This window comes from Homo sapiens, chromosome 5 (genome assembly GCF_000001405.40).
Source record: "Homo sapiens chromosome 5, GRCh38.p14 Primary Assembly".
Lineage (NCBI taxonomy): Eukaryota > Metazoa > Chordata > Mammalia > Primates > Hominidae > Homo > Homo sapiens.
Window position 1 is genome coordinate 134,859,801 of NC_000005.10, and position 13,900 is coordinate 134,873,700.

The following is a 13,900-nucleotide window of genomic DNA, read 5'->3' on the forward strand; positions in this document are numbered from 1 at the left end:
TTTCATGACTGTAGATCTTGTGTTTTTCTTAGAATTTTGCTTTTTTTTTTTTCTTTTTTAAGACAGGGTCTCACTCTGTCACCCAGGCTGGAGTTCGGTGGCGTGATCATAGCTCACAGCAGCCTTAACCTTCTCGGCTCAAGCAGTCCTCCTACCTTCCCACCTCAGCCTCCCGAGTAGTTGGGACTACAGGTACCTGCCACCATGCCCAGCTAATTTTTTATTTTTTTATTTTTATTTTTATTTTTTTTGGAGACAGAGTCTCACTCTGTCTCCTAGGCTGGAGTGCAGTGGCGCGATCTCCGCTCACTGCAAACTCCGCCTCCCAGGTTCACGCCATTCTCCTGCCTCAGCCTCCTGAGTAGCCTGGATTACAGGCGCCCGCCACCACGCCTTAATTTTTTAATTTTTGTAGAGATGGGGTACCCTATGTTGCCCAGGCTGGTCTCAAACTCCTGGTCTCTGGCCAGGCGTGGTGGCTCACCCTTGTAATCGCAGCACTTTGGGAGGCCAAGGCGGGTGGATCACGAGGTCAGGAGTTTGAGACCAGCCTGGCCAAGATGGTGAAACCCCATCTCTACTAAAAATACAAAAATTAGCTGAGCGTGGTGGCAGTTGCCTGTAATCCCAGCTACTTGGGAGGCTAAGGCACAGAATTGGTTGAACCCGGGAAGCAGAGGTTGCAGCAAGCCGAGATCATGCCACCGCACTCCAGCCTGCACGACAAACAAACTTAAAAAAAGATAAATCAGAATACAGCTAGAAATAAAAAAAGATGCATCAGACAAATAGTTCTACTAAAAGGCTAATATTTAAATTTAAACATTATTGATCCTTTTGGTTTTTTTTAAAAATTAGATATTAAACATGGCTCATTTTTAAATTTATTTTGAGATACAGTCTCTGTCACCCAGGCCAAAGAACAGTGGCACAATCATAGCTCACTGCAGCCTTGAACTTCTGGGCTCAAGTGATCCTCCCACCTCAGTCTCCAAAGTAGCTGGGACTACACCCAGCTTATTTTTTTTTTTAAGTTTTTTTTGTAGAGACAGGGTTTTGCTATGTTGCCCAGGCTGGACTTGAACTCTTGGCCTAAGACAATCGTCCTGCCTCAGCCTCCCATAGTGCTAGGATTACAGAAGCAACAGCTCATTTTGTTATTTATTTTTTGAGACGGGGTCTTGCTCTGTCACCCAGGCTGAAGTGCAATGGCAGGACCTTAGGTCACTGCAACCTCCAAATCCTGGGCTCAAACGATCCTCCCAACTCAGCCTCCTAAGTAGCTGGGACTACAGTCATGTGCTACCATGCCTGGCTAGTTTGTATTTTTTTTTTTTTTAATCGTGTGCATGTGTATTTAAATAGAGATGTGGCCTCACTAAGTTGCCCACACCTGTCTTGAACTCCTGGGTTCTTAGGTATCCTCCTGACTCGGTCCCCCGAAGGCCTGGGATTACAGGCGTGAGCCACTACACCTACCCTGCCTAGATTGTTAAAAGTCCTTTCACTCATAAATGGTCATGTGCTATTGATTAGGTGGGCTATTCCTGAAAAGATATACACCATCATAGTACGGACAGTTTGCTTGGGCTCACAGGATTACTTATTGTTTATTAAATATATTTTAGTCCAATTTTTTCTAGTTCTTCATAGAGTTTGTAATATTTAATTGTCCATTGTAATTATATTTCCCCATATTCTCAAGCAGATCATTTGAAAAAGCTAACCAATTGAAGATCTGTAGGTTGAAGAGAAGGCAGTCTCCATTTATCACCTAGAATTTAATTTTAGACAGGGTCTCACTCTGTTGCCTAGGCTGGAGTACAGTGGTGTGATCACAGCTCACTGCAGCCTCAACCCTCTGGGCTCAGGCAATTCTCCCACCCCATCCTCTTGGGTAGCTGGGACTGCAGGTACACACCACTATGCCTGGCTAATGTTTCAAATATATATACGTGTGTGTATATATGTGTGTGTGTGTATATATATATATTTTTTTGTTTGTTTGAGATGGAGTCTCACTCTGTCGCCCAGGCTAGAGTGCAGTGGCGCGATCTCAACCCTCTGCAACCTCCGCCTCCTAGGTTCAAACGATTATCCTGCCTCAGCCTCCCAAGTAGCTGGGATTACAGGTGCCTGCCACTGTTCCTGGCTAATTTTTGTATTATTAGTAGAGACGGTTTCACCGTGTTGGCCAGGCTGGCCTTGAACTCCTGACCTCATGAGCCACCACGCCTGGCCTATGTTTTATATTGTTTTGGAGAGACAGGTTTTGCCACATTGCCCAGACTGGTCTTGAACTCCTGGACTCAAGCTATCTGTGCGCCTTGGCCTCTCAAAGTGCTGGGATTACAAGCATGAGCCACCATGCCTGGCCTAGTAGTAGTGTTTTTGTACTGGATTTGAGATAAATGTGGCCATGGAAGCTGATACATTTCATTTTATCTCTGCGGCCATTCTGTTGTGAGAACTTTGGGGCTTTGAAGTAGCTTCTTAGGAAAGTGACAGAAAAAAATCAGTCTTAAAATTTTCTGTCATTTGTCTTTCTTGTGAACTCTCTTAAAATTTTTTTTCTCTGGAGATTTTTAGTCCATTCTGTTAGGTGTTTATTTCCATATGGGCTTGGCATGCTTTTAAGTACAGAATCTGCCCATTTTGTCTTTAATCTGCCTGGTGCTGGTTTATGATCACTTAAGAAGCTGGTTTGTCATTGGCCAGGCACAGTGGCTCACGCCTGTAATCCCAGCACTTTGGGAGGCTGAGGCGGGTGGATCACGAGGTCAGGAAATCGCGACCATCCTGGTTAACACTGTGAAACCCCGTCTCTACTAAAAATACAAAAAATTAGCCAGGCGTGGTGGTGGACGCTGGTAGTCCCAACTACTCAGGAGGCTGAGGCAGGAGAATGGCCTGAACCCGGGAGGTGGAGCTTGCAGTGAGCGGAGATCATGCCACTGCACTCCAGCCTGGGCAACAGAGCGAGACTCCGTCAAAAAAAAAAAAAAAAAAAAACTTGTTTGTGATTTACTGTCTATCGTTTGTTTCCTTCCTCGGGCTAGCTTTTGTAGAGTGGCAGTCACCCTATAAGTTGCTGCCTTATAGCTGCATGTGACCTACAGGTCCCACAGATACGTAAGTTCTTTTTCCTTGTCCTCTTTGCATTGTTTTTACTTAACTTATTTCTTGGTAATTTTGTTAATTTGCCTCAAATCACTTTCAGTTATCATAAAGGAAAAATTTTTTTGGATAGCTGTATAACTTTATTTGATATTTTGATGATTAGCAGTTAGTTCTCATCCACATTGACTGTGGATTTTTGAAAATGATAGGTACATAGGTAACCTAAGCATAGAGCTTGTTTGGTGAATCTTCATCCTCATTAACGTTTTCTGGACAACCATATACAGATACAGTATGGGACATTCCTTATTCCTTTGGCCGAGACAGCTTTGTTGAGCCTGGTATCAATGCACACATCTGGAATTCCCATCTCCTCCAGATCTCGAGTGCCTGAGGGGCATGCTGCTTGAAGCCCACTCCATGCATGCACTTGTGAATGTTGATGGTATATTCTCAAGTCACCACCTTGATTGCAGAACAGCCCTTCTCACCACCCTTCTTTGTGGGAGCTATTCTGCCAGGCCCAAGTTGGAAAAGCAAGGAAAATATTTTTAAGTATTTTTGAATTTTTCTAATTTTATATTTATGTAACCCTTGGTTGCTACTAATGCTGTTTTTCATGTTATGGGAAATTTTAATCTTTATTAGATTAACATTGTGTTTCTGAATATCTTAAGTCTTCCATTTCACCTGCCTATTTATATCCTGTGTAGCAGTTAGTCCTTACAGTAATTATAGTTGTAACAAAGAGACCCCAAAATTGCTGGATGTGGTGGTGCATGCCTGTAGTCCTAGCTACTTGGGAAGCTGAGGTGGGAGGACTCCTTGAGTCCAGGAGTTTGAGGCTTCAATGAGCTGGGATCATACCACTGCACTCCAGCCTGGACAACAGAGCAAGACCCCTTCCTTTTTTTTTTTTTTTTTTTTTTTTTTTTCTGAGACAGAGTCTCACTCTGTCACCCAGGCTGGAGTGCAGTGGCGCAATCTCGGCTCACTGCAACCTCCGCCTCCCGGGTTCAAGTGATTCTCCTGCCTCAGCCTCCCGAGTACCTGGGACTACAGGCACCTGCCACCACACCCAGCTAATTTTTGTATTTTTAGTAGAGATGGGGTTTTGCTATGTTAGCCAGGCTGGTCTCAAACTCCTGACCTCAAGTGATCCACCTGCTTCAGCCTCCCTAAGTGCTGAGATTACAGGCGTGAGCCACCGCGCCCAGCTGACCCCTTCTCTTAATTAAAAAAATGCTGTGGCTCTGATAAAATTAGCATATTTCTCATATAACTGTCCTATGCTTTCCATGCAGAATTTCAAGGACCTAAGCTCACAGTGATGTTGCCAATTTCAAAACATGGCTTCTGGCCGGGCGCTTCAGCCTGGGCAACAGAACGAGACTCTGTCTCAAAAAAACAAACAAACAAACAAACAAACAAAAACATGGCTTCTAAGATTAGTTGCCTTCATTTTACCCAGTCTGATGAGAGGAGTTATGGAAGTCCAAGCCCTATTAGGCAAATAAGGTGAAGCTACGTATAGCTGCAAGAGGTGTTGGGAAGCATAGTCCCTATTTGAACAACCAGGTCCAGTTATTAATGTGGAGGGAGAGAATGGATTTTAATGGCAATCTCTACCACATATCTGTAGGTAAAGGTTTGTAGGTGGAGACTGGGGTGGAATGAAGAAGCACACATACCTACAGATTACATGAAACCAAATTGAGGTTTTTGAAACTAAATTGTTACTAGTTACCTTTAAAAAATTGTTAATTCACCAAAGATTTGAATATCGTATTTGAGCCAAGCACTATTCTGGGTACACTAGATTACTTCCTGGTTTATAGTCTAGTGAAAGGTCTGGACAAGTGAAGAGTTTATACAATATGAAAGGCCAGGTGCTTGTGGCTCACACCTGTAATTCCATCACTTTGGGAGGCCAAGGCAGGCAGACTGCTTGATCCCAAGAGTTCGAGACCAGCCTGGGTGACATGGCAAAACCCTATCTCAACAAAAATCAGCCAGGCCTGGTGGCTTGTGCCTGTAGTCTCAGCTACTCAAGAGGCTGAGATGGGAGGATTCCCTGACCCTGGGAGGTTGAGGCTGCAGTGAGCCCAGCTGTGATTGCACCAGTGCACTCCAGCCGGGGTAACAGAATAAGATTCTGTCTCAAAAAACATATATATGATGACTACTACTATTTCTGGAGTAAATGGGGGTGGGTGAGAGTGGGGGTTCCAACAATAACCAAAAAGAAATAACATTTAAGCTAAGAGTAGAGATTGGTATGTGGAAAGAAGAGACTGTTAAAGAAAGGAAACACACGCAAAAGCCTGGAAAGCATGAATGACCTTTCAGCAAGTAAATGTGTATGGTAGGTGGTGGCAATGAACACGCGCTGGGAAGGGGAGATGAAACAGACTAGATCATAGAAGAGCCCTGAAAATCAGTCTAAAGAGTTTCTGATTTCTTCTGAGGACAAATGACGAGCCATTGGAAAAATTTAAATAAGGTCATGACTTGCTCTTATTTATAGCTTAGGTTGGCTCGGAGGAGCAGAGGTCAGAGTCAGGCACAGTAGTAAAGTCTCATTTGGATGAGCTACTCAGATTAGGTTTGGGAAAGTGAGGAAGAAAGAAGTGGACAAATTGTGAACTGAGATATATAGAAGTAATAAAACTTGGTGCCAGGAATAAACAAAAGAGGAGTCTAAGATGACGCCCAGTTTCTGACTTGAGTGGCAACATAGTATTAACTAGTCTATGGAGCAGTGTGTGTGCCTGCATGCATGTGCACAGAAGGTGAGGGGAGGTGGTTAGGAGTGTATCCAAGCCAAATATGACAGGTTAAGATGACCCCTGCCTATATAAAGACATGATATTTTTTCTAGTTTAGCCCAAAATCTACCCTTTATAGGTGAAAGTGGACATTATTTTTATATCTGATGGAGGGTATGGGGCAAAAAGGAACTACTCTTATACATAGAGATACTGATATATTTTAAGTAGAAACCCATTTTAATTAGTAATTTATTTATTTATTTATTTTTATTTTTTTTGAGTCGGAGTCTGGCTCTGTCGTCCAGGCTGGAGTGCAGTGGCGCCATCTCGGCTTGCTGTAAGCTCCGCCTCGCGGGTTCACGCCATTCTCTTGCCTCAGCCTCCCAAGTAGCTAGGACCACAGGCACTGGCCAACACGCCTGGCTAATTTTTTGTATTTTTAGTAGAGACGGGGTTTCACCGTGTTAGCCAGGATGGTCTCGATCTCCTGACCCTGTGATCCGCCGCCTCGGCCTCCCAAAGTGCTGGGATTACAGGCGTGAGCCACCGTGCCCGGCCTAATTAGTAATAATTTTCTATGTTTTCAGTTGACTTAACAATTCAACAAACCTTAATAGTTTCTGAGCATCTGCTCTACAATGTGGCAGCTCCCATATCAAACAAGACGTAAGTCAGTATCCTCAAGGAACTCGTATTACAAAACAAATGCCAGTCGGGCGCGGTGGCTCACGCCTGTAATCCCAGCATTATGGGAGGCCAAGGCGGGCGGATCACGAGGTCAGAAGATCGAGACCATCCTGGCTAACACGGTGAAACACCGTCTCTACTAAAAAATACAAAAAATTAGCCGGGCATGGTGGTGGGCGCCTGTAGTCCCAGCTACTCAGGGGGGCTGAGGCAGGAGAATGGCGTGAACCCAGGAGGCACAGCTTGCAGCGAGTGGAGATCGCACCACTGCACTCCAGCCTGGGTGACAGAGCGAGACTCCATCTCAAAAAAAAAAAAAAAAAAAGGAAGAAAGAGGAAACAAACGTCTTAAGATGTGTAAAACTTAAACCATGTAATGTCAATTTTTATTCACTCTGATATTTTAAACATGTTTTATCTCATAAATTAGCTAATGATTTTAGTGCATAGCAAGTGAAACTACAGTCCATCCGCCTATTCCTAAGCCTTAGGTGAATTTTTAGACGATTTCACCGAAAAAGCTGGTTATTGTGTTTATTCTCTTTAAGCTCAGAAGTATCAGATTAAAAAATCATTCATAAATAGGCCGGGCGCGGTGGCTCATGCCTGTAATCCCAGCACTTTGGGAGGCTGAGGCGGGCGGATCACAAGGTCAAGAGATTGAGACCATTCTGGCCAACATGGTGAAACCCCGTCTCTACTAAAAATACAAAAATTAGCTGGGCGTGGTGGTGCTTGCCTGTAGTCCCAGCTACTCAGGAGGCTGAGGCAGGAGAATTGCTTGAACCTGGGAGGCAGAGGTTGCAGTGAGCCGAGATCGTGCCACTGCACTCCAGCCTGGCGAAAGAGTGAGACTCTCTCTCAAAAAAAAAAAAAAAAGTCATTTATAAATGATGATGATGGTGGCTTTTATTTTCGTTTTTATTTTTTTGAGACTGGGTCTCACTTTGTCACCTAGGCTGGAGTGCTGTGGTGCGATCTCGGCTCACTGCAACCTCTACCTCCTGAGCTCAAGCAATCTATCCACCTCAACCTCCTGAGTAGCTGGGACTACAGGCACACAACACCACACCTGGCTATTTTTTGTATATTTTGGAGAGACAGGGGTTTCGCCTCATTGCCCAGGATGGTCTCGAACTCCTGGACTCAAGTGATCTGCCTGGGTCCCCCAAAGTACTGGGATTACAGGCATGAACCACCTTGACCAGCTGATAGTGGCTTTTAAATAATGTTGGGAGCTACTTAAATGGCTGGTGTGCTTCCTCTGTCACATAATAAAAACAAATAACTGTTGGGCGCAGTGGCTCACGCCTGTAATCCCAGCGCTTTGGGAAGCCGAGGTGGGAGGATCACTTGAGGTCAGGAATTCAACACCAGCCTGGCCAACATGGTGAAACCCCGTCTCTACTAAAAATACAAAAAAATTAGCCAGGCATTTTGGCATGTGTCTGTAATCCCAGCTACTCAAGAGGCTGAGGCAGGAGAATTGTTTAAACCCAGGAGGTGGAGGTTGCAGTGAGCCGAGATTGCGCCACTGCACTCCAGCCTGGGCAACAGAGCAAGACTCCATCTCAAAAATAAAAAATAAAAATAAAAACAACTGCAAAGTACTATTACATCCTCATTATGCCAGGTGCAGAATGAATGATGACTGAAGCAGATTATGATTTTTTCAGAGTAACTCACTGTAGGGCTGTCAGAAAAATGCCAAAAAGAGGGCTTTTTTTTTAAGTTGTGTTAAAAAAATTTGTTTTGGAAACTTCAAACATATACAAAAAGCAAAAATAGAGTATAATGACCTTCTATGTGTCCATCACCAAGCTTTAGCAATTAAAAAGTTAAGACCTTTCATGAGTATACCTGCTTTTGAAATAAAAGCCAGAAAAAAATTAAAAAAAAATTCAAAACCTATCTATTTGCATGTATAGCCCCACCCACTCCCTGTCCCCCTCAGTTATTTTGAAGCAAATTCTCCAAGTCATATTTTATCCTAAAATATTTTAGTACATATATCTAAAAATAAAGCCTTATTTTTTTTTTTTTTGAGTTGGAGTCTCACTCTGTTACCCAGGCTGGAGTGCAGTGGCATGATCTCAGCTCACTGCAACCTCTGTCTCCTGGGTCCAAGCAATTCTCCTGCCTCAGCCTCCCGAGTAGCTGGGATTACAGGTGCCAGTCACCACCCCTGGCTAATTTTTGTATTTTATTAGAGACAGGGTTTCACCATGTTGGCCAGGCTGGTCTCGAACTCCTGACCTCGTGATCTGCCTGCCTCAGCCTCCCAAAGTGTTGGGATTACAGGCGTGAGCCACTGCACCTGGCCTAAAGACTTTTTTCAAAGCATAAGCACAGTACCACTATTACAATTTAAAAAATCAACAATGTTTATAAGTATCAAGCATCTAGTGTTAAAATTGTCCTAACTGTTCCAGCATTTTAAAAATGTTTTTTAGTTGTTATTTATTTTTATTTTTATTTATTTATTTATTTTTTGAGAGGGAATCTCGCTCTGTTGCCCGGGCTGGCGTGCAGTGGCAGATCTCCACTTACTGCAACTTCCGCCTCCCGGGTTCAAGTGATTCTCCTGCCTCAGCCTCCCGAGTAGCTGGGACTACAGGGGTGAGCCACCACGCCCAGCTAATTTTTGTATTTTTAGTAGAGGCGGGGGTTTCACCATGTTCGCCAGGATGGTTTCGAACTCTTGACCTCATGATCCGCCCACCTCGGCCTCCCAAAGTGCTGGGATTACAGGTGTGAGCCACGGCGCCCGGCTATTTCTTTTTATTGAAGTATAATTTACATATCATAAATTTTACCCATTGTTAATTTTGTGTGTGTGTGTGTGTCTATCCAATTAATCTAGCACAATTTGGTGGAAAGACTATCCTTTCCATTTTTTTTTTTTTTTTTGAGACGGAGTCTGGCACTGTCACCTGGGCTGGTGTGCAGTGGTGCGATCTCGGCTTGCTGCAACCTCTGCTTCCCAGGTTCATGCCATTCTTCTGCCTCAGGCTCCCAAATAGCTAGGATTACAGGCGCCCGCCACCACACCCGGCTAATTTTTTGTATTTTTAGTAGAGATGGGGTTTCACTGTGTTAGCCAGGCTGGTCTCAAACTCCTGACCTCGTGATCTGCCTGCCTCGGCCTCCCAAAGTGATGGGATTACAGGTGTGAGCCACTGCACTGGCTATCCTTTCCATCTGGAATTGCTTTGTCATGTTTACTGAAGATCAGTTGACTGTAGATGTGTAGGTGTATATCTGGGCTAACTTGTCTAATTTGGTGATCTGTCTGCTAATACCTATGCCGATACCACAGTCTTGATTACTGTAGTTTAATTAAAGTTTTGAAATCAGGTAATGTAAGTCTTCCTACTTTTTCAAAATCATTTTGGTTGTTTCATATAGATTTTAGGATCAGTTTGTCAATTTCTACAAATCTCTAGGATTTTTTTAGGAGTTGTATCTATAGATCAATTTGGACAGAATTGCCATCATAACAATATTGTCTTTCAATCCAGAACATAGTATGTCTCTCCACTGATTTTCATCTGTCTTGATTTCTTTCAGCCGTGTTTTTTATGTTTTAGTGTATAAAACTTGAACTTCTTTTGTTGAATTGAGTCTTAGATATTTTATTATTTTTGATGCTACTGTGAATAGAAGTTTTTTTTGATTTTTGGTAGCATATATAAATATAGTCTGTTTTCTGCATAGTGACCTTCTATCTGGCAACCTTCCAAAACTCACTTATTATCTCTGGTAGTTTTTGTTGTTGTTTTTGTTAATTTTTAAATTATTAAAAAAATTTTTTGGCCGGGTGCAGTGACTCATGCCTGTAATCCTAGCAGTTTGGGAGGCCAAGGCGGGTGGATCACCTGAGGTCGGGAGTTTGAGACCAGCCTGACCAATATGGAGAAACCCTGTCTCTACTAAAAATACAAAATTAGGCAGGCGTGCTGGCGCATGCCTGTAGTCCCAGCTACTCGGGAGGCTGAGGCAGGAGAATAGCTTGCACCCGGGAGGCAGAGGTTGCGGTGAGCCGAGGTTGCGCCATTGCACTCTAGCCTGGGCAACAAGAGTGAAACTCTGTCTCGAGGAAAAAGAAAAGAGAAAAAAAAATTGCCAGTACATAGTAGGTGTATATATTTATGGAATAAATGAGTTTCTTTTTGTTTTTGTTTTTTGAGACAGAGTCTTGCTCTGTTGCCGAGGCTGGTGTGCAGTGGCAGGATCTCGGCTTATTGCAACTTCCACCCAACCGGGATTCTTTTTTTTTTTTTTAAGAATCGGAGTCTCACTCTGTTGCCCAGCCTAGAGTGCAGTGGCCTGATCTTGGCTCACTACAACCTCTGCCTCCCGGGTTTAAGCAATTCTCCTGCTTCAGCCTCCCGTGTAGCAGGGACTACAGGCACATGCCGCCATGCCTGGCTAATTTCTATTGTATTTTAGTAGAGACGGGGTTTCATCGTGTTGCCCAGGCTGGTCTCGTGAGCTCAGGCAATTCACCAGCCTCAGCATCCCAAAGTGCTAGGATTGCAGGACTGAGTCACCGCACCCGGCCACCCCCCGGGTTTTAAGTGATTCTCCTGCCTCATCCTTCTGGGTAGCAGGGATTACAAGCATGGGCCACCATGCCCGGCTAATTATTGTATTTTTTAGTAGAGATGGGGTTTCACCATGTTGGTCAGGCTGGTCTCGAACTCCTGGCCTCAAGTGATCTGCTCACCTTGGCCTCCTAAACTGCTGGGATTACAGGGTTGAGCCACCGCGCCTGGCCCAGAGATGTTTGGATACAGGCATGCAATGTGAAATAAGCATATCAGGGAGATTGGAGTATCCATCCGCTCGAGAATTTATCCTTGATTTACAAGTAATCCAATTACATTCTCTTTTTTTTTTTTTTTTTTGAGATGGAATTTCGCTCTTGTTGCCCAGGCTGGAGTGCAATGGCGTGATCTCGGCTCACCACAACCTCCGCCTTTCGGTTTCAAGCGATTCTCCTGCCTCAGCCTCCTGAGTAGCTGGGATTACAGGCATGCAGCCACTATGCCCAGCTAATTTTGTATTTTTAGTAGAGACGGGGTTTTTCCATGTTGGTCAGGCTGGTCTTGAATTCCTGACCTCAGGTGATCAGTACGCCTCGGCCTCCCAAAGTGCTGGGATTACAGGCATGAGCCACTGCGCCCGGCCGACTAGTTTTAAAAAAATTTTGTTAGCAGTGTGAACTCATAGATGTTAACATATGCAGTGTATTTCAGTCTATTGAAATTTTTCATTTTTATGCTCAAATCATCCCATCTTTGGCAAGTAGGAGCCAGTTTGGTTCCTCAGTCATTCTAAATGACCGTAGTACCCTGGTATTCTTTTATTTATTTATTTACTTATATATTTAAGTTTTGCATTTTGATATAAGATGTCCCAGACTCACAGAAAGGCCTTTTGAGATAGCAAGACAAATTTGGCGGATTTAATTTCAGCCAAAGGAAGAGAATAATGTCAGCTTTTCTTTCCTCACCCCCAGAAATTTGATAGAAACCAGGACAATTGTGAAGGCAGTTTTCTCACTGAAAAGAAGTGCACGTTGGTGGTGAGACAGTTAAATAAGGATTCTAACCTGTGGACTACATTTGTTGTCATTAGAGGGGGTATATACAGTATTTATTCAAAGACGCTCAAGCCTGTAATCCCAGCCCTTTGGGAGGCCGAGGCGGGAGGACTGCTTGAGCCCAGGAGTTTGAAATCAAACTGGGTCAAACAGTGAGACCTCATCTCTAGAAAAAAATTTAAAAACGGGGTGGGAAGATCGCTTGAGCCCAAGGGGTTGTGGCTGCAATGAGCCATAACTGAGCAATTGCACCTGGGTGACAGCGAGACTGTGCCTAAAAAAAAAAAAAAATTGAAAGACAATTCTAACATCCAATTCTAACATCTAATTCTAACATCTGTAAGCGTATCTGTCCCAAACACAGAGCTAAAGTAAAAACACAGGAAGGGGCCGGGCGCAGTGGCTCATGCCTGTAATCCCAACACTTTGGGAGGCCAAGGCGGGTGGATCACCTGAGGTCAGGAGTTTGAGACCAGTCTGACCAACATGGTGAAACCCCATCTCTACTAAAAATATAAAATTAGTCGGGCGTGGTGGCGCATGCCTGTAATCCCAGCTACTTGGGAGGCTGAGATAGGAGAATTGCTTGAACCCGGGGAGGTGGAGATTGCAGTGAGCCAAGATCGCGCCATTGCACTCCAGCCTGGGCAACAAGAGCGAAACTCTTGTCTCAAAAAATAAAAAAATCAAACAAACACACATACAGGAAAGGAAAGGAGATAATAAAAAGGAAGGAGTAGTAACCACAGGGCATCCATGTTGGAGTATCCAGATCAGCTTCCTTTTCATTAGTCATAAATCCTTTTGGTGCTCTGTCCTGTTGGCTTTTCATGCACCTTCAAATCATGTATGGGGGTATGAGAAAGATAGTTTAAAAAGGAAAGGTTTGTTGTTCCACTGTTAGGGGTGAGGGAGGTACTTAGCGAAATGATGACTAGTAATAAGCTCTAGAACTGTGGGCTCTTTTATCCATGTCCATTGTTTCATATTCTTCTGGACCCACAAGATGGCACTTGAGGATCTACAACAGCAAAACCATACCAACGTATTTAGAATAAAAGAATCATCCACAGGGACAGATTAATGATGCATCTTTCTGGCCTAACAGTGTCTTTTTGATGGGCATAGAGATAAGGGGACTATGGCCACACCATCAGAATTGTATTATTCAATTAATAATGCCTACCACTTTGAAATGCTTCCTGTGCCCCAGGACACTGTGCTCATCACTTTACATCTCATTTCATCTATAAGACTCTATATAACGTCATTTCCACTTTACAGCTGAAGAAACTTAACTTTAAGTTACATAACCTGCTGACTGTGAACTATCACATGTGCTGAAGTTGGGATTCACCAAGCGGCCAAAAAGCACAGGTTCCCCTTACCATTGCTATGTTAACCAATAGACTGATGTATTTTAAATCAGTTTCTATTTTTTCAACCTCATAAGTTTGAAAAGCTGCACTCTGCACTGATTTAGCACTGACTGGTGGCTGCTTAAAGCTTGCCTTATTCCATTTTAGCAGGCCCCCCGGCAAAATACCCCAATTAGTGGTGTCATCCTCTCTATTCCAAGAATTTTCTCTTAAGACTCCCGCTCTGTGCGTTTGCTTGGGAATGCAGAGCCCTGTTCCTCATCTCCCCATCTATGCTTTCTTCATTCTAAGCCCTTTCCTATCTACTTTATGCTCGAGGTGGCTCCACCTCCACC